Here is a 25,166-nt window from a genome sequence, read left to right as displayed (position 1 = left end):
GCTCACTCATAGATGTGCTCTCACCACGTGTTGCTGTCTACCATGTTATGATGCAGCCCAGACAGGGCTGCCCAATCTTGGACTTCCCAGCCTCAAGAACTGTGAGCTACATAAATGTTTTCTTGATAAATTACCCAGTCTCAGGTATACTGTTATAACCACAGAAAATGAACCAAGACAACAGGCCTGTCTCTCCCAAGAACACCAGGAGTTTCGGGTACCACTAACCCAGGGCATCTCAGATGAGTATGGTTTTTTATAAAATTTGATCAGAAAATGGCTTTGCACTGTGTAAAACTCTTATAGCAGCTCAGAGCAAGATGGCTTGGGCCCTGGGGATTGCAGCAACAACCTTAATTTTTTGCCATGATTTTCTCCCTAGGGCGTATAATACTAGAGTGGCTGGGTCAGGGTGGGTCCGTGCCCAGAAAGAGGATGCAGCAGCATCCAATTCCCCAGGCCTACTTCCCTCAAGATAGATTCCTTCCAGAAGGCCTGCAGCCTCTCTGTTAATTCCCTTTGATTGGCTTCTCTCCTCCAACTGGGAAAGTATAAATGACGGCACGCATCAAGCTTTTTCTCCAACTTGTCCTTCCCCACATGCACATTAGTGGATGTAAATTCAGTCTTGGGTCACTTTTTGAGGGGGATGCATTCTGAGTAGTCCACCGTTAGGTGATCTTGGCATTGTGTGAACATCATGGAGTGGACTTACACAGACCTGCATGGTATAGCCTCGCACACACCTAGGCTACATGGTACAGCTGTTGCTCTTAGGCTGCAAACCTGTACAGCACGTGAATGGACTGAATACTACAGGAAATTATAAGACATTGGCAAGTTTTTGTGTATCTAAACATAGAAAAAGTACAGTAAAAATACCGTATTGTAATGTTATAAAACTACCACTGTATATGCAGTCCATTGTTGACCAGAACATTGTTAGGCAGTTCTGTAAACTCAGTGTATCTATATGCCAAATATAGCTCAGCTTGGTCTTAGCTTAAACCCTACTAAGTCAAATAAAATATCGTTAAGAGATAAGAAAAGGAAAAAAAAATCTTTTTGGGGTATGGAGGAGTATCTATGAGGGGCCATCGACTCAAAGCTTATTGTGGTGGTGGAAGGCACAACCAGGAGCTTGAGTGACTAATTTCAGATGCTGACACCACACCACGAACACAGCCAAATCAGTCTTTGTAGTCCTTCATTCCCTGTCCTTTAAAAAGGGATACATTGGAATAATAGTAATATTTATCTCATATGATTCCTATCTCATATTACAAAACGACAACAACAGCTCTTGGAACATTGTTAATACACAATATCCTAGGTAGGCAATGAAAAGTCAACAAATTTTACAGGTAGAGCTGTGGGAATGACATTTCAGGGGGAAAAACCAGGACATAAGAAAGAGATACAAAGGTAGGAAAATGTGTAGTGTATTTGTAGAAAGGTATACTGTGCTGTTTCTGGAGCATTATGTTTGTGTGTGTGTGTGTGTGTGTGTGTGTGTGTGTGTGTGTGTGTGTGTGTCACGTGTCTATTTGGAATAAGCCAATATACACATACGTATAGATGTCAATAGATTTAATCAAGCATTGATTTAATTTAGTCAAATACCAGCCTGTAGAATTCTTCATCCCAATTTAATTTTGTTTACAAGCATATCTAGGAGTTCCAGCCTGTCACAATTACTGCAGTTTATACTGCTGCTACTAATAGTGCTATTAGCAGCACTATTATTATGATTAACTGCCTCTACTGAGCTTTTATTACATGCTAGCTACATGCCAAGAGTGTCAATCACATGAAATTCTTAAAGTGCCCTCCTATTATGGTCTTCTATTCACAATATCAAAGACTTGGAACCAACCCAAATGTCCAACAATGATAGACTGGATTAAGAAAATGTGGCACATATACACCATGGAATACTGTGCAGCCATAAAAAATGATGAGTTCATGTCCTTTGTAGGGACATGTATGAAATTGGAAATCATCATTCTCAGTAAACTATCGCAAGGACAAAAAACCAAACACCGCATGTTCTCACTCATAGGTGGGAATTGAACAATGAGATCACATGGACGCAGGAAGGGGAACATCACACTCTGGGGACTATTGTGCGGTGGGGGGAGGGGGGAGGGATAGCATTAGGAGAAATACCTAATGCTAAATGATGAGTTAATGGGTGCAGCACACCAGCATGGCACATGTATACATATGACATATGTAACTAACCTGCACATTGTGCACATGTACCCTAAAACTTAAAGTATAATAATAATAAAATAAAATTAAAAAAAAGAAAACTAACAGTGAGGTGAAGTAAACCAGCCACACGTATTAGTCATTTTTTGCTGTGTAATAAATTACTACTAGTGCAGTGGCTTTAAACGACACCCATTTATGATCTCACAATTTCTGTGAGTCAGGTCCCGCATTTCCTCAGGTCTGACCCGCAGACATTGTGAGCAGTGCTTAACTGCATCCTCCACTCAGGGTCTCACAAGGATGGATCAACGCATTAATTGGGCCATGTTCCTTTCTGCAGTTTGGGATTCATTTTTCACACTGACATGATTGTTGGCAGAATTCATTCCCTGAAGTTGTAGGACTGAAGTCCTAGCTTTCTTGCTGGCTGTCAGCCATGGTTGCTTTCAGCTCCTTGAGGCTCCTGCAATGCCCTGACACGTGGGACTCTCAGCATGATAGTTCACATCTTCAAAGCGGTCGGAAGCTCTATCTCCGTATCTTCGTTTCCACAAGATCTGGACTGTTTTTCTATGGGAGCTTCTCTGATTGGGTCAGGCCGACCCAGGGTATCTCCTTTTGGATTAATTCAAAATCAACCGATTTCTGACCTTTTGCACATCTACAAAAATCCTTTATCTTTGGTATTTAATATAACCTCCTAATAGGAGGATATCTGATCATTTTTACAGGTGCCACCTGCACTCAAGGCGAGAGGGTTACTTACATAGGACATGTATATTAGGGGGCTGGAATTTTGGGGATTATCATAGAATTCTGCCTCCTATGTTGTCCAAAGTGGTAAGAGTAAAAGGTCGTTATTCAAACCAAAACCAATGTTTTACCTGTAAAACATTGCATTAAATCTACTTTTATCTTTTTCATCCTTTGCATCTTATCCTCCAACTGGTACGTCATCTTAGAAAGTGTATTAACTGTTAGATAAGATTATGTATGATTGAATTAGTGTCTGAATTCTCTATACCTTTAATGTTCTGTTGATTCTTTTGAAAATCCTTCCTTTTTAGAGATTATGTCCTTGTCAAACCCAGACTGCAAAGTGGTAAAGCAAAGATTTATCATCTGACATTTTTTCCAATTAATTTGCATCTGCTGAAAATCTTTTTCTGAACTTATTGAGTTTTACCTGAATATTTACATCTCCTCTCTTGTGCCCACTAGTATTCTACTGTAAGCTTCATACATTTTTCAATCATCTTATTTTGAGTAATGAAATAAGGCCGGAGAAGCATAGTCTATGTCAAATTTTGGCTTGGGAGACTGAGGTATTTGGCTGACGATTTTGGAGCAGTTGAGCCTAGCTCTGGCCATACCACTGTGGCATCAATGGGAATGTTCAGAGTTCTCTGCTGCTCCAAATTTAATTGAAGTCTATGAATTACTGAATAAAGCATGCTTATTTGAAGAGTTTAATAGCTTTGGTTTAAGATAGCAAAGTGAGAAACCAGGGCTTCAGGAATATCTTATTACTGTTCATAGTCCAGTAAATTTCATTCATCAGCCAGGTTACTGTCACAGCAATGACACATATACTCAGTGACAAACAGACCAGACCAATTGAAGAAGGTCTATTTCATTTTGCTGCAAATTCAGTGTCATCAACTAGCAGCAAATGCAAGATACTGAGCTGGGCACTAGGACTGAGGCGAACAAGGAAGAAAAGAAATAATTCCTTACGCACTAAATGAATACACATCATGGGAAGAAACATAGGCAGAATATGCATTTTTGTGCATTAGTCTTAAAAAAGAAACTATTCCAGCAGGAACCAGTCTTTCACACCAAAGCATTCTGGTATCATGAGGGAAGATTTTCTAACAAGGCATCAGATTGGTTACATTACCATTCTCCGCTCTTCACTCATCTAACTCTTTGAAAATAAACACTCACCAGAGAATGGGATAGCTGGCCAAAGCCATGCAGGATAATTTAGCTCAATACATTCACAATACATCCCATTTCAAGAGGAGAGTGAAAGGATGAATTGTAACGTTTATTGGGAACTTAGTCTCTATATGCCTGTTTCTTTCACTGCAAATCCCTGCTGAAATCCATGACTCCAAATTTCAGTCATTCGGTAAGTGTTGCCTTTTTGAGTACTTTTCCCTGACGGCTGCCTGCCCCTCCCCTTGGCTGCGCCATGAGTAGACCATTCTGTGTCCATGTGGAGTTCCGTTTCCTGACCTCTGCCTTGAACTTGCATCTTGACTTTTTTTTCGTTGATTGATTTAGTCCCTCTTTTACCTTGGTTACTGGTTGGGTCTCTGATTTGAGAAACTACCTGTTGGGTTATGCTCACTGCATAGGTGACAGATTCCTTTGTACCTGGTTTGCTGCCCTCTGCTTTGTACTTGAATCTTCACTTCTTACCCTTGATTGATTTAGTCACTCTTTTACGTTTATGTTGAAAATTTTTCCCCCATGAACTCTGGCCTTGCTGGGCTCATTCCTGAAGATTCCAGACTGTAGTTGCCTGTTTACTCCCTTGTTTGTTTCTTTTGCTATGCCGAAGCTCTTTAATTATGCAGGTTTAATTAGGTCCCTCTTGTCAATTTTTGCTTTTGTTGCAATTCCTTTTGAAGACTTAAGCATACATTCTTTACCAAGGCCTAGAATGGGAAGGATATTTTCTAGGTTTTCTTCTAGGATTTTTATAGTTTGAAGTCTTACATTAAGTCTTTAATCCATCTTGAGTTGATTTTTCTGTATGGTGATAGGTATTTTTCTGTATAGGAATCACCATACAGAAAAATGAACTCCAAGATGGATTGTCTTTAATCCATCTTGAATTTCATTCTTCTGTATATCTATAGCCTGTTATCCCAGCACCATTTATTGAATAGGGAGTCTTTTCCCCATTGCTGATGAAACAATTTTAATATATGAGAGGATATACACAGATTATAGGCAAATACCACACCATGTTATATAAAGGTGTTGAGCACTGTTGGATTTTGCTGTCCATAGGAGGTCTTGGAGCCAATCCTTTATGTATACAAGGGAGCAACTGTACATGCCTGGCAAGGGTATTTTATTTTATTTACTATTCTCCAACATCATTAAAGGCAAATACTATTAGCCCTATTTCATATGTAAAGAAACTAATCATTTAATCTCTAAAATGTATTTACTCATGGACCGAAGAATCAAATCAAGGAAACACTAATGAATCTAAACAAGTGTTTTAATTGAAGATACCCATTTGTGAAATGGAGAAGGAAAGATATTATCTCCCTGAAGTATGTTTTTTTTTTTTTCCTCCATGCTGCGGAGGACCATTGGATGATGCACAAGTTTTTTCATCTTTATTTTAAAACTCAAGTGCATTTTCTACGTAGTGTTGCCTTTTACTGTTCATTCTGAATAAAAATCATCTCTGGCAGAAACAAGATATAGTATCTATGCAAAGATCCAGCTGGCCTGAGTTTGTAATATGCAGTTTAATATAGAAATGAAATAAAGCCAATAATGAACAGTAGAGGAAGCGGAAGAGCTACAGTGCAGGTGGCTTGTCAGTTTTTATTAATTTTTCTAGACAGGGAGTCACCTATGCAGTATTAGATAAAGAAGTGTTTGACAGATCTCTGAATCCACTGCGTTCTAGTAGATTTTGTGAAAGTTTCTGTCAGAGCAAGTGAAGTCTTTGGCTGATTTCTTATTTTATTTATTTAGTTATTTATTTGGGCAAGAACTCTCTCTGTTACCCAGGCTGGAGTACAGTGGCAGGATCATGGCTCACCGTAGCCTTGACCTACTGGGTTCAAGTGATTTCTCCCACCTCAGCCTGCCAAGTAGCTGGGAGTACAGGTGCATGCCACCATGACCAGCTAATTTATTTATTAATTTTTATTTTTTATGTAGGTAGAGACAGGGTTTCTCCATGTTGCCCGGGCTGGTCTCAAACTCCTGGGCTCAAGTGATCCACCTTTCTTGGCCTCTCAAAGTGCTGGGATCACAGGTGTGAGCCACCATGCCGAGGTGTGTAACTAAACAGGCATATGGTTGGCAACTGAGAAACAGAAAAGAAGTAAGAAGATGGATGTTCTTTAATTCGCTGCCACGGAGGAACATGAGTGGAGGCCCATGTGCATTATCTACCACCCCATTTGTGGCACCAGGTCCTCACATAGGGAGCTTCACTGTTAGGTTCCCAGCACTGTCTCAATGTCACCCCACAAAGTAGGGTGCTTTCTACTCCTGGAATGCTTATTTTGTGTCCACTGAACTGATACCTTAGTCTCATGAATCTTTTAATGAATGGTTTCCATATTTTGCTATGCATGCAATTTCCCTGGTAAACTTAAAAATTAATAACTAATAAACGAATAAATAACTCATGTCCAATCCCCAACCCCAGATAGGTGGATTTGCACAGAGGCACTCCAGAACAGGCCTCACTGTTTCCAGCCCCGGCTGCCATGCTCAGCAGGACTCTAGGCTGCCACACACCTCAGGGTTCTGCCCTCTGCAGCATGTACTACACAGTGCTGGGCTTCCCACACCTAGTGAACGAGTCACGACAGCCTCCTGATGTCATGACTCCAGGGCTTGGGGCCTCTCTCAGCAGGAACACAGGCTGCACACAGGAGTTCTCCACCCCTGCTGAGCCACCACCATCATTCCTGCTGCCCAGTGTCCTTCCCCAGAGGGGCTTCCGCAGGGAGCGGCCTGGTCAGCACCGCCTTCTGGAAAGCACCTCCATCACGCTGCTCCCCAGCAAGTGCTCCCAGAGACTCTAAAGTTTATGAACTGTGGTCCTTCCTCTGGAGGGCTGTGGCTGGCTGTTGCCACAGCAGCTTAGTCCTCTGAAAGGCAGACCTGTCACCCCGGCGTGCAGTTCTGTGCTGGAGCTGTGTGGGACATGTCTACCTCTCAATCGCACCCTAAACCACCTGTTTCTTTTGCATAGAGATCCTGCCAGAATGTTTTCCCACACCCCTGCTCACCTCCTACTTAGAAGTCGGATAGATTAAGGATTCCTAGATGCTGTTAGCAGGGATAAAGGATAGGGAAGAAAGGTGAATATTGCTTACTTATTGAGAGACAACCCCAAGCTGGAGCCTTAACAATACCATGATAGTGTTTTTGTCTCCCTTGCGCTAATAGGAATTGTGCTTCTCAGTAGAATCTTACATATTCCTCTGATTGATGTATTTATTAATACTCTTTTAAAAATTTAAAACTGGGCATGGTGGCTCATGCCTGTAATCCTAGAACTTTGGGAGGGCGAGGTGGGCAGATCACTTGAGGTCAGGAGTTCGAAACCAGCCTGACCAACATGGTGAAACCCCATCTCTACTAAAAATACACACACAAAAAATTAGCTGGGTGTGGTGGCACACGCCTGTAATCCCAGCTACTTGGGAGGGAGGCAGAGTCAGGAGAATAGCTTGAATCCGGGAGGTGGGGGTTGCAGTGAGCTGAGGTAGCACCATTGCACTCCAGGCTGGGCAACAGAGGGAGACTGTGTCTCAAACAAACAGACAAATAAACAAACAAAAAAATGTAAGTAGTGGGACCAAGTCTGAGAAGCCAGAGCAGTAAGGAGAAGGAACATGTGGATGTGTGTGTTTGTTTTTCTGCTTCCTTCTTCCTACCCCCACACAGAGGCTGTAGAAAGGGATGTGGAAACCATGCATATCAGGAGAGAGACTGAGGGGAACAAATGATTGGGCCTTGGTTCATGTAGCACATGGAGAATGTGTCAAGAGGTGCTTTTTACAGTTTTTCTGATATGAATCATTTTCCTTGATTAAGGAGAGATTCTTCGATTGTAGAATAGCTGCATTAGTTGAGCATATACATTTATACAAGGATACTATATTTGTCTGTACACCGAAAATCTTGGTGTTTGCAATATCAATTAAGTATTAAAGTAGAACTAAGTCTATTGCAGGCTTCACCTGGTATAATTATCATGTCCTAATTATTACTGCCAGTTAAATTAAACCTAATAAGAAGTATCAGTTTCTTCCAAAACCCTGATTTTACCCCCAAAGTGATTTTCCTTACTTCAAATACAGAACCAAAAGAAAGATTTCATTTTTAAATATAATTTTGCTGGCTGTCAAAATCATTGTAATGCAACTTGGTCTCATCATCTCATGATGGGCTCACTGTGTCCGTGAGTGGCTGTTCATCAAAGTGTCCTGGCTGTGTGGCCGTGTGGCTTTAACATTAAAGCCCAATGATGGAGCTTCCCAGACACCGTCTGTGAGAGTCTAACTAGATCACATTCCTGCCGCCAGATGGTTTGGACAGGTGATCAAACCATAGGTCATTTCCTGAAAAAGCCAGGCAAACTGGGTTTTTTTTTTTTTTTTTTTTTTTTTTTTGAGACGGAGTCTCGCTCTGTCGCCCAGGCCGGACTGCGGACTGCAGTGGCGCAATCTCGGCTCACTGCAAGCTCCGCTTCCCGGGTTCACGCCATTCTCCTGCCTCAGCCTCCGGAGTAGCTGGGACTACAGGCGCCCGCCACCGCGCCCGGCTAATTTTTTGTATTTTTAGTAGAGACGGGGTTTCACCTTGTTAGCCAGGATGATCTCGATCTCCTGACCTCATGATCCACCCGCCTCGGCCTCCCAAAGTGCTGGGATTACAGGCGTGAGCCACCGCGCCCGGCCGCAAACTGGGTTTTTAAAAGAAGGACTTTTCACTGAAATTAGATTGTTTAATTAGTTTGGAAAATCTAGTTAGAAAGTGAAGATGGCCTTTCAGACAATGATAGTGTTTCCTGCAGATAGTGGCTGCAGCTATTCCCCATCCTGTCCATTTGTCCATTTGGGGTCCAGAAGGGTTTAAGTTCATTGCCCTTCAGTTTTCTTGTGACAGAGTCTCACTGTGTAGCGCAGGCTGGAGTGCAGTGGTGCGATCTTGCTCACTGCTACCTCTGCCTCCCGGGTCCCGGTTCAAGCAATTCTCCTGCCTCAGTCTCCCAAGTAGCTGGGATTACAGGCATGCACCACCATGCCAGCTAATTTTTGTATTTTTAGTAGAGATGGGGTTTCACCATGTTGGCCAAGCTAGTCTTGAACTCCTGACCTCATGATCCACCCACCTTGCCCTCCCAAAGTGCTGGTATCACAGGTGTGAGCCACCGCCCGGCCTGCCCCTCATTTTTATTTCAGTTTTGCTCCTGTATTCAGTGATGCCCATCAAAAGCTTCATCCTCAACTCCAAAGCCAATTAGATAGAATAAACAATAATTTCAATAGTCTTAATACTATTAAAATAAGACTCCATTTCTTAATGATGACACGAACATGGTGGCTGTAATGTAACCTTCCCTGCATGATGTGGTTAAATGAAGATTTATAACCAATTTACATTTAATCTTTTGACAACATTCATTTAGTATCACCAGATAACAGAAGCTGAGAAACATTTAGTTTAGAATCCTGACACTGTAAAAATAATTATCAAATTGCATGTCATTTTAATGGGCCTGGAAGAACATTCCTCATTATATTGTCACAGAGATTAAGTTATTTTAAGGCCAGTTGATTGTGATTTTATCTTTTGCAAGCTGAAAGACTTTTTTATACCACACCATTAGTTTCAAGTCTAGTTATTTGGTTCCTCCACATAATATTTACCGTTTTTATTCATCAACACCAGGGAGAATGCAATAAAATGTAGCCTTCACCTTCAAAAGAATCTAAAGCCTGGTAGGAGAGATAAAATTATCTATGGGATATTGTGAGATAGAATGTAGCTTACGACCCCTAAGAATGATGCAACTCAAATGTAGTGGGCATTTAGGGGGAGGGGATTTACATTAAATGGAGGAATTAAGTAAGACTTCCTAGAGGAAGTGGTATTTCTGGGCCCAATAAGGTTGCAGATGGGGAAGTAGGATGAAATAAGGATTCCTAGATGCTGTTAGCAGGGATAAAGGATGAGGAAGAAAGGTGAATATTTATTGCTTACTTATTGAGAGACAACTCCAAGCTGGAGCCTTAACAATCTTCTCTCTCCTCAAAAATAAGATCCTAAAGTATAATTTACAAAAGGTAAAATTATAAAGCAAATATAAAGTGAACACATGTAAAAATTTTTATTTAATCTTTTAATGAATGAGGGACATCATAAGATACCATGACCAATTCAGAGAGCCTTGAGAAATTAGGGATCTATCTTTCTATCTATCTATTTATCAACTAAGAAATTTCCGCCAGGCCACACATTTTGGGTGTTATCTGTTTCACTGGACAGAAATTATTTGCATATGTACTGGATAAAAGTCTGCAAATATACAGGTAACTTCCCTGGAACCTTCAATCTGTGTTAAGAAGGAATTCATTCCCTTAGACCTGTGTTGCCCAAATTTGGATAACCACTGGACAGAACTGGCTGTTTAAATTTAAATTAAACAAATGTAAATAAGATTTAAAAATGAATTCCTTAGTTTCAGGAACCACCTTTCATGTGCTCAGAGCCACAGGTAACCAGTGGCTGCCATCCCCAACTACACAGAGAGAACCATCCAACCCTGAAGAAAGGAGAGGAGGCAGTCTGTGCTGTGGTTTCTGTCTTGACTCTCTAGGGAAACCACGATTCTGCTGCTCAAAACCTAGGATACTGGAGATAGAAAAGATGGTACAGCTGAAACAAAGTGCGTGCAATTGGAAGTCATAGAACTCTGGGTGTTGAATTGGCCCCACCTCTAAACTTCCCTTCCCTTCCTTCAGGTGCCTATTTGTTTGATCTGTTCCCCTTTGAAGGTCTTCCTGCAGTGTCTCCTGGCACCTTGGTGTTCGTGTGTGTATGCTGTACGTCTGAGACCTGAACCAAGCTCCAGAGAGATAGGGGATGTGTCTGGGGTCACTCCCTAACAGCATTGAGCCAACACCTTTTGATCTAGGGTGCATGGCTGCCTTCTGGCCTCCTAAGGGTATGAGTGGATGCATCTGGATAGAACACAGGATCATGGGAAAGTGAAGCTAGAATAATTCCAGAATAGGACATCAAAGAACTTTCAATATAAGACTCTATTACTTCTTACTATTCATATGTGTGTGTGTGTGTGTGTGTGTGTGTGTGTGTGTGTGTGTGTGTGTGTGTGTGTATGGTTTTTTTTTGGAAATATTTTTACTATAGTAATAATTCTACAAAATATACATTTTTTTTATTTTTTTAAGGCAGGGTGTCATTCTGTAGCCCAGGCTGAAGTGCAGTGACACCATGTTAGCTCACTGCAGCCTTGACCTCCCAGGCTCAAGCAATTCTCCCACCTCAGCCTCCTAGCTATTCCTAGCTGGAGGTACAGGCATGTGCCACCATATTCAGCTATTTTTTTGTTTATTTTTTGTAGAGATGAAGTCTCACTGTGCTGCCCAGGCTGATCTCGAACTCCTGAGCTCAAGCTCAACTTGTCTCAGCCTCCCAAACTGCTGGGATGACAGGCATGAGCCACTGTGCCCAGCATCGTTTTACTATTGTGAGCATGCTAGGCTCCTTCCCAGTTGTGTATGCATTGTGAAATACCCTTCACGGTGTTTCGGAATACATCTCAGTGTTATTCTAGGATTTGAAAACTGTTAAAGGGAGGCTTGTCTTGATTGTTTCATTATTTTCTCACAAACTACTAGTGTTGAGTCCATGAGATTTCCCCCAATATTTATTGTTAACATTATTGATAGATGGCATCTTGATAGGTTTTTAATATTCTTCTGTTTCTTTAGGACCACCACCCCACTTTCTAACCATCATTCTCCCTTTTCCCAAACAACCCAATCCTTTTTGCAGACAAGATTAAAGTACATTTAGAAAGCTAGATACTGACTGATAAATTATCAATTTATATCTTCATTTTTTTTCCTATTGACTGCTAATATAGTCATGCACCACATAAAGACATACAGTCAAGGATGGACCACATATATAACAATGGCCCCATAAGATTTTAATTGAGCTAAAAAGTTTCTATCACCCAGTCATATCATAGCCCTCATAATGTCACATTACCTTTTCTATGTTTAGATATGTTTAGGTATACAAATACTTACCATTGTGTTACAGTTACTGTTACAGTTACTGCCTGCAGTATTCAGTACAGTAACATGCTCTACAGGTTCATAGCCTAGGAGCAATAGGCTGTACCATAGGGCCCAGCTGTGTACTAGGTGATGCCATCTAGGTGTGTGTAAGTACACTCTGATGTTTGCACAATTCCACAATCGTCTAAGGACACATTTCTCAGAATATATCCCTGTTGTTAAACAATGCCTGACTGTATATAAGCATGTTTAGATTTCTCTAAGTTTACCTTTTATAGAGGCAATGAAGAATACATGCCGGCCTGTGACTCTGCAGCATTCTCAAAGCCCGATGTTTTTCTTCTTTAGGCAGAGACAATATCAAAAGTAAACAGAAACATTACTGTAATCTGTAGCACAGGCCGAGCAACTTTCCTGTGTTTTTAAAATGTTGAGTTTAAGCGAGCTTTCTTAATCTCACCAATTTCTTAATTACTTGATCATTCACAGGGTTTAATGTCTTCCTGGGACAACATTCTTTTTGGTTGAAGGTGGGGGTGGGGAATAGAAGTGAGACCACTGACATGAAACTTGCCCTTGAGAAGCTTCAAATCTCGGGGGATTGCTGACTTAAACAGGTGAAGTCACTGCAGAAGATGGGATAGCTCAGCCTGCTACAGACATTCAACTTGAAGGGAACTTACAGCAAGGAGTGTTTAGGGTAGGAGAGAGGCGGCCCCTGAGTGAGGTCTTAGATGGATTCCTGGAAACCTTTTGACTGAGATACTCATGATATAGAAAGACTTTCATGGTCCCACAGTACCAGTGAAGAGTGTTTCAGCTGGAGTTATTCCAGTGCAGACTTTTAGAACAATATGTAATTCATAGTCTTATCAGTCTTGATTAAAGGAAAAAAATAATCTATGTTTTCCCCCCAGCATGATGACATCACCATGTGTTTCTAACTTATCAGTATGTTACTAGAGAAAAATATGTCTTCTCCTCTTTTAAGAGGTAGTAGAGATTTTATGAATCTCAATCACCACCAAAAGCTTTTGGAAATCAATACTAGAAATGATCCAAATTTTTTAACATTGAATGTTTTGTCTTATTTGTTACAGGTGAAATAAGATGCTTAAAGCATCGAAATTTGTAAGAGGTTTATTTTATGTTAGCAGTGAAGATAGGAAATATTATATGTAAATAAAATATTTATACAAAACTAATTATATTGGCTATTGAAGATGAACAAAGAATGTGGGAGTTTGGAGGCTCACACCGTGTTGCTCTACTCTCTTAATTAATGCCATTCCTCTGAGGGTTCATTTACGTAACAGGTTTTTCTAACACTTAGAATGTTTTTTTAAAAAATTTTAAATTATTTTTTAAATAGCAAGAAAAGTACTACTTCTGTAAAAATAAAAAAGAAATTGTATTGATTCTCAGGTCATTCCATGGATTCCATTTCTTGGGATAACATTCAATTTGTAGAACATGTGCTAATCTTTGAAAATGAGACTTAATTTTCCTCATTGGTAATTGCTGTACCTGCACATTCTTACTGAATGCCAGTGCTTTAAAACATTAATGGGAATTTCCATGAAACTGTTAGCACTGATTGCATGAGGGATGTGGGGGTAGTGAGCCAGCACCTGCAGTGGTGTTTGTGACTGCTGGCCTGGGTCCATAATTGCCGATCTGTGTGTAAGTGCCACTTTGCAAGAGCCATGGAATCAGTCCCCTACAGTATTTTGTAAAGTCCACCGTCTGACTCAAGGTTATTATCATGTGGTTAAAAGGAAAGCTTGTGCTTTCTAATGAGGAAGGCTTACCTGTAAATCTCTGATGACCCCGAGTGCTGTCTTGGGGACACCATTCAACCCATTAGCTTGTGTTTTCTTTGTTATGAAATGCTGACAATCGTACCTACCTTTCAAAGAAGAGTGGATGCAAATTTAACAAGTCTGCCATTCATATTAAATTTTGAAATACATATTGAATCCCCTTTAGTACCATTCCACAACCATACAATAAAAAAAGCTTTTATTTTGGAAATACTTTTTTTTAAAGCATATTAGCCAACTTGAAAATTTTATCAACTGGACTAGATCATGTAATTGTTTATTATTTTCCTTCCTAACTTTTCTGCAGTCCACCCCTGTATCTCTTACCTCATAATAAAAAAGTGATTCACAGAAACAAATATGATTCTAGAAAAATTTCAATCAATTTTGGGACTTTCCATCAGGGTTTGTGTTCCATAATATTATTAAATATTTAATTGTAAAGGATTTGGTTGGGAATGAAGTAATTTTAAAAAGAATTATTTAAGATTTATATTTCCTCTATTTACAAAAATGCAGTGGATTTAAGATGGAAATACTGTCTAAGAATCAACATTTATTAAACAGGAAAGTAGCCACCTGAGGAAGTAGGAGGGGTAAATGCCTACAGCTTGAAGAATCCGTGGGAGGAGCTTGAGTTCAGAATTTTTTTGGCAGCAAATACAAATAAACAACATGTGCTGAACATTCCATGTATAGCAGACATTGTTCTAAGTGCCTCACCTCCATTATTATTTTTAAAATCCTTACCACAGTCTACTGAGTTAGATACTATTATTGTCTACTGAGACAATAATAGTAGACATATAATTGCAGATGAGAGAACAGGCATTGAGGGCCAGCTGATTTCCCAAAGGTGACAAGGCCAGGCCAGGGTTTGACAAAGAGGTCATGGCTCCAGAGAGGTGCTGCCTCTTTATTTTATTTTATTTTATTTTATTTTTTATTATTATACTTTAAGTTATAGGGTGCATGTGCACAACATACCAGTTTGATACATATACATATGCCATGTTGGTTTGCTGCACCCATCAACTCATCATTTACATTAGGTATTTCTCCTAATGCTATCCCTCCCCCCTCTCCCCATCCCACAACAGGCCCCAGTGTGTGATGTTCCCCGCCCTGCATCCAAGTGTTCTCATTGTTCAATTCCCACCTATGAGTGAGAACATGCAGTGTTTGGTTTTCTGTCCTTGTGATAGTTTGCTGAGAATGATGGTTTCCAGCTTCATCCACATCCCCACAAAGGACATGAACTCATTCTTTTTTATGGCTGCATAGTATTCCACGGTGTATATGTGCCACATTTTCTTAATCCAGTCTATCATTGATGGATATTTGGGTTGGTTCCAAGTCTTTGCTAGTGTGAATAGTACTGCAATAAGCAAACATGTGCGTGTGTCTTTATTAGCAGCATGATTTATAATCCTTTGGGTGTATATACCCAGTAATGGCATGGCTGGGTCAAATGGTATTTCTAGTTCTAGATCCTTGAGGAATCGCTGCACTGTCTTCCACAATGGTTGAACTAATTTACACTCCCACCAGCAATGTAAAAGCGTTCCTGTTTCTCCACATCGTCTCCAGCATCTGTTGTTTTCTGACTTTTTAGTGATTGCCATTCTATCTGGCATGAGATGGTATCTCATTGTGGTTTTGATTTACATTTCTCTGATGACCAGTGACGATGAGCATTTTTTCATGTGTCTGTTGGCTGCATAGCTGTCTGTTCTATGGATGCATAGAAGTGTCTGTTCATATCCTTTGCCCACTTTTTGATGGGGTTGCTTGTTTTTTTCATGTAAATTTGTTTGAGTTCTTTGTAGATTCTGAATATTAGCCTTCTGTCAGATAGGTAGATTGCAAAAATTTTCTCCCATTCTGTAGGTTGTCTGTTCACTCTGATGATAGTTTCTGCTGTGCAGAAGCTCTTTAGTATAATGAGATCCCATTTGTCAATTTTGGCTTTTGTTGCCATTGCTTTTGGTGTTTCAGTCATGAAGTCCTTGCCCATGCCTGTGTCCTGAATGGCATTGCCTAGGTTTTCTTCTAGGGTTTTTATGGTTTTAGGTCTGACATTTTAGTCTTTAATCCATCTTGATTTAATTTTTGTATAAGGTGTAAGGAAGGGATCCAGTTTCAGCTTTCTACATATGGCTAGCCAGTTTTCCCATAGGTGCTGCCTCTTTAAGCCAAGATGGACATACCCCAGGCTATAGAGATGTCATTGTGAGGAAACTGGACACATTATCTGCAGCATTGATGGTTTCTTCCATCTACATTTATATTATGGAGTTTATTCAACTTTTGGAAAGCTGTGACTTTCCTGGCACCACCTTAACTGTGCCCATTTCCTGGCCCGTATCCATTTCTGAAAGAAAAAGCAACTACATTTACTCTTTTTGGCTTTGTACTTTGTTATTTATTTAAACCTAATTCTTAAATTTTGCTTCACTCTACAGTTTTGTCTTGGTATGGGAAATTTCATTATTATTTTCAAAATGAAAAATGAAAAAATAAATTGGCAACAACAACCAAAAAATCAGAAAAAGGTATTAGATTTAATCAGCAGTTTTTGCCTCAGTAGGTCAAATTATTGTGCAGATACGTTAATTTAAAACCCCAGCAAAAATTTGAGAATTAAGTTATAACTTTTAAGTGTAGAGTCTCCTTAGAGATTGCTAAGCATGTTTTAGAAGTATTTTTTAGAAGTACATTCACTGGATGGATGGTTATGTAATTGGAAGCTGTTTACAATATAGCATAACCTTGGTTACTCCACAGGAGTTAAGTTTATGGCTCGTTAAAAGCATGGAACAGGCAGTTTGATTCAGTTGGGTGTAATAACCTATTGGACAAGGTTTGGAGTGAAGAGTGTTCATGTAATAACTGTCTTCCTTTAGAATAGTTCTACTTGTTGGTAAACTTAGAATTTCACTTTTTCTCCTTAACATTCAGTTACACCAAGTCCTATATAAACATTTTTTTATTTTAGTTCTTATGTAAGTAATTTTTCTAATGTTTAATTTTACTGATTTCAAATATGATATCCCAACAATTTAAAGGGTGTCTGGTTGGTAGGAAAGATGTTCTAGATATTGAATGATCATGGCTGCATTCTATTTTATATTTGTTGCCCTGACACCACCATGCTCACTTCAGTTTTCACCCCATTAAAAATATGGGAGAATTTATTGACCTAGCAAATACCTATTGAGTGTTTATTGAGTTCAGGGAACTTCACTAGCCATTTGGAGCATATGAAATAGAGTGAAGTGTTACACACAGAGAGGTTGTATCCATAGAAAAGTTTGGACAGGTACAGAAAGGTCAAGGTGAGCGCATTGAGGGCCAGTGGTGTGCACATGAGGTCCCATGAGCCTTCAGAAGGAGAGGGAAGGAAGCGTTCAACTGAAGAGAGTGGTCCACTCACATAGTGAGACGGAAAGATGGGCAGACACGGGGCCATGCGCTGAGTGGGATGTTAGGACGGTCAAGTGAATCGGTTGGCTGCATGACCTTTCCAGAGAGTGCTGACTGTGGCTCCCTAGAGGGAGATTTCTAGTGAGATAATGAAGCCTCCGTGTTTGACCTGCCCAGTTTAGCAACTTTTCCCCCAGTAACCTGCATAATGGTGAAATGGTCGTTATCCCCATCTTTTTCTTTTTTGGTTGGGGGGACAGAGTCTCGCTCTGTCACCCAGGCTGGAGTGCAGTGATGGGATCTCAGCTCACTTCAGCGTCCGTCTCCTGGGTTCAAGCGATTCTCCTGCCTCAGCCTCCCGAGCAGCTGGGACTACAGGGGTCCGGCCACCAAGCCGGCTAATTTTTTGTATTTTTAATAGAGAAGGGGTTTCATCGTGTTAGCCAGGATGGTCTGGATCTCCTGACCTTGTGATCCGCCTGCCTCGGCCTCCCAAAGTGCTGGGATTACAGGCTTGAGTCACTGCGGCAGGCCGATCCCCATCTTTTTAAGGCTCCAAAGCAAGGTGTCCTTAGAAGAGGTGATTCAGGAAGTCCAGTCCAAATGAATTTCATGTGGAACCACTTTGGACTATTTCTGTACATATTGGTTAAACTAGAACTAATGAATACCTTCACTCAACATGAAGAAAAGTGGGTTCTCTCTCCATAATGTGTAAAGAAGCGCTTGCTGGACATCAGAGGTGGTGCTGATTCTGTTCATTTGGTACATACTGGTTGTGTCCTTGTGGAGACGTGTATTCCAGCAAATGTGGTCAAGCCCTGCTGAAGGCCAGCACCCAGAAATACAGTAGCAATAATCCTGATGGATGATGAGGAAGAAGGTTCTGTGCCCCTGCTGTTACTTCTGACCAGATCCCTGTCCCGGGTCCAGAAACTCTGGCCATGCATCTATTCCACAGGAGAATCCAGGGCTCCACCAGAACTGAGGTGACTCCCTGCATGACTAGGCGCAGGGCTGAACTGAGGGAATATGGCAGGTGTAACTGAAAAATGAGAGCTAATGACACCAGCAGCAGCATTCTTGATGTGTAAGAAACAAGGACAACTCTGTAGTCAGAAGGAGGAAAGAGGGAAGGAGCTGAAACCACCAATAGCCAGGCTTGGCAATGTGGGGGGCTTTGGACAAAGGCTTGGGGGACGCCTCATGCCAGCAGCTCCTTATCAGTAGCTGGTTCTGTGGTGTTGGTGCAAGCCAGCTGTTCGAAGAGGATGAGACTGCACTGGCTACTTTCCTTCTCTTAGATGTCATTTTTAGGGAAATATCATATGATAATGGAAATCAAGGGCAGAAATCATACAAGAAGTGCCAGTCTAACTGTACCTTGAGCATATGGGTCAGATTTCAAAGGTGGTGATGGAAATGGAGATGGAGCCATTGCTGTCCAGGTGCGTCTCAAGAACAGATCCCCTTGGTGTAGGAAATAAGGGCACATGATGGCGAGAACCTTTTCTCTGCTTCTAGCACTACGGAAGTCCCCCCTGTTTCTGTCCTACCCCAGTGCCACGAGTAAAACCTTCTTCCTTCTCCTTCTCTCGGGCCAACATTATTTTTATATGAGCACAGATTAAAACAAGCTGTTTCACTGCCCAGTGAGTCTCCGCGTTGTCAGTTGAAGAGGGGACCAGCCACACCAGTGGTTTTTATTCTCTTCTTCTGTGCTTTCTAGTTTGGTAGCTGCTACCCACAGACAGCTATTTAAATTGAAACTACTTTAAATTAATAAAACTCAGAGAGTAATTCCTCACTAAGTTTCAAGTTCTCCATAGGTAGTTGTAGCTAATGGCTACATATGCTATGTACGTGTGTGTGTGTGTCTGTGTGTGTATATATTAATATGAGATAGTGCAAATGGAGAACATTTTCATCATTGCAGAGAGTTCTCTTGGGTGACATTGTTCTACTTAATATTTTAATAGCTCATGTGATAAATATCACTTAAAATCCGTCCTGTTCCTGCTGTTTTGCTCTGTTACAATATGTTGATACTGAACAGTATTTTACCAAGGTAAGAAATATGTTAAATCTTACTCTCTCCCCACCTAGAAAACAAATTATCCCAGCAATTAAATTCTCAGTGACAACTAGTGATGGAAACTTCTCAGGTTAATGAAAAGTTTCCATTAGAATCAGAACGACTCTTCCTAAGTATCCTGTCTTCAACCCTTAAGCCTATTATCTAAAATACATAAAAGAAAAATGATAACTGTAAAGATTATACTGGTTTCTAAAAAATCCCAAGCAAATAAAATATACTATTTTCAAATATTGGCTCTATTCAATATGTTGTAAACATTGTTATTTCAGCAACTTTTTTGACCAAGAAAAGAAAGGAAAAGAGAAGATTTGACTGAGGGTTCTGTTAGGCAAAGCGTGAGAGAAAACTAAAGAAGAAGATGGACTTGGCCGGGCGTGGTGGCTCATGCATGTAATCCCAGCACTTTGAGAGGCTGAGGTGGGCAGATCATGAGGTCAAGAGATCAAGACCATCCAGGCCAACATGGTGAAACCCTGTCTCTACTAAAAATACCAAAATTAGCTGGGTGTGGTGGTGCACGCCTGTAGTTCCAGCTACTCAGGAGGTTGAGGCAGGAGAATCACTTGAACCCAAGAGGAGGAAGTTGCAGTGAGCCGAGATTGTACCATTCCACTCCAGTCTGGGCAACACAGCGAGACTCCATCTCAAAAAAGAAAAAAGAAAAAAAAAAAAGAAGAAGAAGATGGACTTCTTAGGCTAAGGAATGGTAGAAAGCCAGTGGACCTCTGAATGGCCACGGTGACTCACGCTTTAAAAGGGCCCTGAACTCAGTACACTTTTCTTTTTAACTTCTCTGCAGGAAAAAAAAAAAACAAAACTTCTGAATAAAATTAACATACTTTATTTGCAAAATCATTACATAAGTAGACTTAACCTCCTGGCACATGACAAAGTAATTATATGAGTTCGTTGATGTTTTGGGTTGGAGGAAAGAACTTGGCCGTAGGCAGATATCCAGGAGAATTTGGTAAATCTGGGTTTATAAACATGAGCAGTTTCACTTTCTATAAATCAAGCCCTACAAGTGGATTGAATCCTTCATCTGATATTTTTTTCTAAATTGTTTTTTTCTGAGAAGTACAGTGTCACACGATGCAGCATTCCAGGAAGGCATCTATGGTCAGGAGAAGTTTGAGATGTCCTGTGCTTCATCCTTTCATTTTTACAGAGTCACTCAGCTCTGAGAAGGGGTATGGTCAGGGGACTTGTTTAATGTGGCTTCACTTAGCACCACCTAAATTGGTTTGACGAGAGAATCCCCAATATTTTTTATTGTCATCTTTTATTAGCTTGCAAACCACTGTCATTTTCTGTAATGCCTACTTAAAATATACCTGATTAGTCTATGAATAGAACTACAAAATAACCAAATCACTTAAAAAGCTAAATGGTTTTATATGAAAAACATCCCTAGTTTTAGGATGTTGAAGAATTTAGAGGTGAAGTAGCATGATGTCAGAAACTGTGTTACAGATCCTTCAACCAAATAGTTTATACATGTAGTATATGTGTACACAGCTATATGCACACACACGCGCACAGGGAACCCAAACGTGGCGAAATATCTGCAAGTGATGAATTACAATGAAGGATGTGATTTGTACAATTTTTGAAATATCTCTCTATGTTTCAAAACTTACTATACAAAAAGAGGAAACTCTTATGAACACAAACATAAGCTACTTTAGTTATTGGGATAATCAAGAAGCTGCCATACAGAAGAGTTGATTAGGAGAGAGAAAGGATTTTAAGGTCCAAGAACAAGTGAAAGGGTGAGATTCATGCTATTGACTAGAGACAGCTACATACCACAAGAAAGGTTTCTCAGGTCATTTTTGGAATTGCCTTGCCATTCCTCTAAGAGTTATGACTCCATATTCAAGAGTTTCTACTTTAGGCCCTTCAGCCAGGCCGATGGGAACCTTGCCCAGAAGATTGTCGGGGTGTTATTTGTTTTCATGCCTGTCCAGGTCACAGCATGACACAGAAAACCTTGCCAACTTTTAATTGTGTTATGTAGCTAAATAAATAGGGAAGCCGTTCTGGAGGGGCTCTCAAGATTTACCTGATGCCCCAGCTGCTTGACCAAGTGGAGCCAACAGCTTGAAAAGCGCTGCAGCCACGACTGGCCTGACCTTGATCTTCCTTAGACTGGCTGTTAATCCCCAACTTGTGGCTGGGTCTGGAAAGCAGTGTGTGTAATAGATTGCATGTCATCTTGTATGCTTCTAGGGCACAGACATTGGCATACAGTATTTTCTGAATAACTTCTGAAGGACTTCAGCGAAGGTAGTAGCATTCGGAGGTGGAAAAGTTCCTTAGCTTTCAGATTCTGCGTTGATATATCATTAGCTGAAACAATATTGCAAACATCACTATTGCCTTAAGGGAGAGAGAAGAGTCACTTAGTTTCCTGCAATTTCTGAGATGCTTCTTTTAATATTGTAAAACTCTTGCTAATATGCTCTTTCAACAATGCTAGCGTATTTGCAGCCCTGACTCCCCTTTCAAAGCTTTTGCTTTTCCTGTTCCTTTTCTTCCTCCTTTTTTCTTTTTATTGTTTGACCTTTACAAAAGGTTATAAAAATTGTGAAATTGGATTTGTTCCTGTTGCTGATAAAGGTTTTAACAGTAAAGGTTCTTCTTCTAAGCACTTCTTCTTCTATGCACTTCTTAGTGCACGTCAGAATTGTCACAGTTCTTGTGATCTTTTGATACTCTGCATGTTGCAAATATTTATGTTACAAATATTTCCATTAACATTTACTTACATATTACAGATATTTCAGTCAGTTGTTACAAATATTTCTATAACATTAATACATGGTTCTATGCTGCATGTATATTACATGTGAAACATTTTATGTCATTATTATGTTTGCTAACAGCAATGTCATATTTATGTACTTGAATATGTTGTACATTAGGGCATTAAAGTTACACAGAAGTGTCAGAAAATAGTACTTTCACATCAATATAAACATGTATTTACATTTTATCTTCCATTTCCCACTGGAAACTAAATATTAATCTTTATAGAGTAATAATTATAAAATATATTGCAAACAAATGATAAAACCATGAAACTTTACATCTTTGTTGTGCTTCAGATTTTGCAAAGTATTGTCACCTACAGTATTAGGAAAGATAGCTAAACAAATGATAATCCAATATGTCTGCAAAAGCTCTTTTTGTAAATTCGGGAAATGAAGCTGCAAAGGACTTTAGAATCTCATTTTTTTCATTATTTTTGTTCTAGTTGTTTTTAATAGATCATATGCATTTGTGAGGCTGAAGATTTTCATTCCAAATGTTAAAAAAAAATATATTATCTCTAGGTGCCTCTGATGATCATAGTAAAATTTCAAAGAAACTTTTATGTCATGATCTGTTATATTATCCACCCAGGTAAGGATTAAAAGAAAAAACTATTTAGTAATTTTCAAAATTTAGAAATTCAGGAAGAAGGTTGTATTTCTGGTAAGTGCTTCTGAATAAAGTTAATTCTTAACAGATATGGAAGTATAAATTGATTAAATTTCCCTAGTTTACAGAGTGTCCCTATATGGTGACAGTTGAGAGAAATGATCTGAGATTGAACTATTGAATTAGTTGTTTGTTCACCTTTTACTCTTGAAAATGTATTATTTGAATGGTGTTTGCCTAGGTAGAGAGATCATAAATGAAATGCAAACCATCCATTTCTGCACATAGCTGCTTGGTCTCTGAAAGTTCCTCAGCGTTGGCCTCTTTTCTTATTTTATGTGTGACTGTGAGTTAGAAAGTCAACCCTAGAAGCCCAGCAAACTGTGATCATATCATTTATATCACGATAAATGGGCTGGTTTTTCTCTGTAGATATTATGAGGAAAAATCTGCAGTCTTCAAAACTGTGTCTGGAAGCACGAGATAGAATTCAGGAGCATCCTGAAAGAATTCCTGTCATCTTTTCAAACTTCCTCGGCAAAGAGTGCCTCTGATTTTACTGTGTTGCAGATACACTTGCCCGATTCTCTTGGCAGTAGGCTGCTTACTTTGCTGAGTAAGTCACAGGGCTGTTGGCAAGAGAGAGAAAAGATTTCACTCTTGGAGCATAAAGTTAGATTTTCTAAATTAAATTGTTGTATTCCCATTGGAATATTTATTCCAGTAATGTTTCAAAATGTTCCTGAAGACTGAGTTTTAAAATTTGCCTCTAACAAGCTTTTAAAGAGTTTCTTGTCTCAATTTAGATGCAGCATTATTAGCCACTTCTTCTGCTTTTTCTTCTCCAGCAGGTAGATCAATCTACAACAGCTTTTATGTGTATTGCAAAGGCCCCTGTCAAAGAGTGCAGCCGGGAAAACTCAGGGTACAGTGCAGCACCTGCAGGCAGGCAACGCTCACCTTGACCCAGGTAAGGAAATGCAGTGTCAGCATGAGACTGCCAGGAAAATGAATGTGTACTAACACATTGCCTTTCAGTTTTTCTAATGATGTATCACCCGTCTTTGAAAAGAAAAGACATTCTCTTCTGTGGTTGTGATAGTTAATGATAGCCGAAGTTTCGTTTATGCGCCTTTGTCTTCTGGATTTCTTTCTGCTCTGTGAAAGTTTAGATTACACAGGGTTGTTTCCCCATTACTTTATCCAGGCCTATGAAAGGAAGTATGGAGAGTGCTTTGGCAGCAAAAAGAGGTTGGGCTTCTGTTACGGTGTGATTAGAAGGGACCATTTAGGAACCTTAGGCTGCTAAAAATGTTTTGTATCTTGATCTGTGTGATGGTAGCATGGTTATATACAAAAGTCAACATTCACTGGGCTGTTGCGTTAAGATTGGTGCACCAAATGTACGTTATACCTTAATTTTAAAAAGTAAAAAAAGAGTATGGATCAGCAAACAGTATGCATATAAAGCAAGGGTCAGTCAACTGAAGTCTGCTGTGGCCACTGCTTGTTTCTGTGCAGCCCCTGACGCAAAGTTGGTTTTTATGGCTTTAAATGGTTGGGAAAAATCAAAAGATGAATAACATTATGTGACCCATGAAATTTACATTCTCATGTCCATAAATAAAGTTTAATGGAGAGCCAGCCCCACCCATTTCTGTACATGTTGCCTACAGCTCCTTTCCTGCTTTAAGTGCAGAGTGGAGTAGCTGGGAAACAGACTGGGTGGCCTACAAAGCCTGCAATACATACTCACTGGTTCTTTAGAGAACAGGTTTGCTGACCCCGATAGAAAGTGTCAGGTTCCGGCTCGGTGGCTCCAAGGGATTTGGCTGGATGTGATGTGGTTGCAATAGAGGGCATGCAGGCCGAGCGTGTCCAGTCCCCGCGGTGGAGAGAACACAGACACGGGGGTGTCAAGGACACAGTGCTGGGGGCAGTCAGGTGTGCAAGTGTGGGTAAATACCCCAGGCACCAGCCAGGAACCCCAGTGATGACTGGCATGTTCAGATTCTATTCTGCAAGCTGACGGAAACCACAGCAAAATTGTATAAACCAGGGTGATGTGTCAAACGCTATTGAGGACAGTTCATGCTGAGGACAGTTTGCCATTAGACT

At 40.2% G+C, this 25,166-nt stretch overlaps 1 protein-coding gene across 6 annotated transcripts in view, besides 2 other annotated features; it reads left to right on the top strand.

The window, feature by feature from the left end:
• Positions 1 to 25,166, top strand: part of PRKN (parkin RBR E3 ubiquitin protein ligase) — a 1,380,350-nt gene that overhangs the window by 502,618 nt on the left and 852,566 nt on the right. For 4 of the 6 annotated variants that reach the window (XM_024446449.2, NM_013987.3, NM_004562.3 and 1 more), the window contains one exon: positions 23,897 to 24,018. The exons of 1 other annotated variant lie outside the window; for it this stretch is intronic. In XM_024446449.2, the coding sequence (XP_024302217.1) occupies positions 23,897 to 24,018 (122 nt within the window). The remainder of the gene's footprint in view (positions 1 to 23,896; positions 24,019 to 25,166) is intronic. One more of the 6 variants, XM_011535863.2, reaches the window with a different exon arrangement.
• Positions 6,348 to 6,848: an enhancer, noted in NCBI's record as "H3K4me1 hESC enhancer chr6:162639333-162639833 (GRCh37/hg19 assembly coordinates)". NCBI's record gives its function as "activates a minimal SCP1, AML or CMV promoter by ChIP-STARR-seq in naive H9 embryonic stem cells {active_cell/tissue: H9 hESC(naive)}" and the evidence as "EXISTENCE:reporter gene assay evidence [ECO:0000049][PMID:30033119]".
• Positions 23,623 to 24,822: an enhancer, noted in NCBI's record as "MED14-independent group 3 enhancer chr6:162621359-162622558 (GRCh37/hg19 assembly coordinates)". NCBI's record gives its function as "activates an origin of replication core promoter dependent on BRD2, BRD4, P300/CBP and CDK7 cofactors, and independent of MED14, by STARR-seq in HCT116 cells {active_cell/tissue: HCT116}" and the evidence as "EXISTENCE:reporter gene assay evidence [ECO:0000049][PMID:35650434]".

This window comes from Homo sapiens, chromosome 6 (assembly GCF_000001405.40).
Source record: "Homo sapiens chromosome 6, GRCh38.p14 Primary Assembly".
Lineage (NCBI taxonomy): Eukaryota > Metazoa > Chordata > Mammalia > Primates > Hominidae > Homo > Homo sapiens.
The sequence above is the reverse complement of the archived record's forward strand: the minus strand, read 5'-3'. Positions and strand labels throughout refer to the sequence as shown.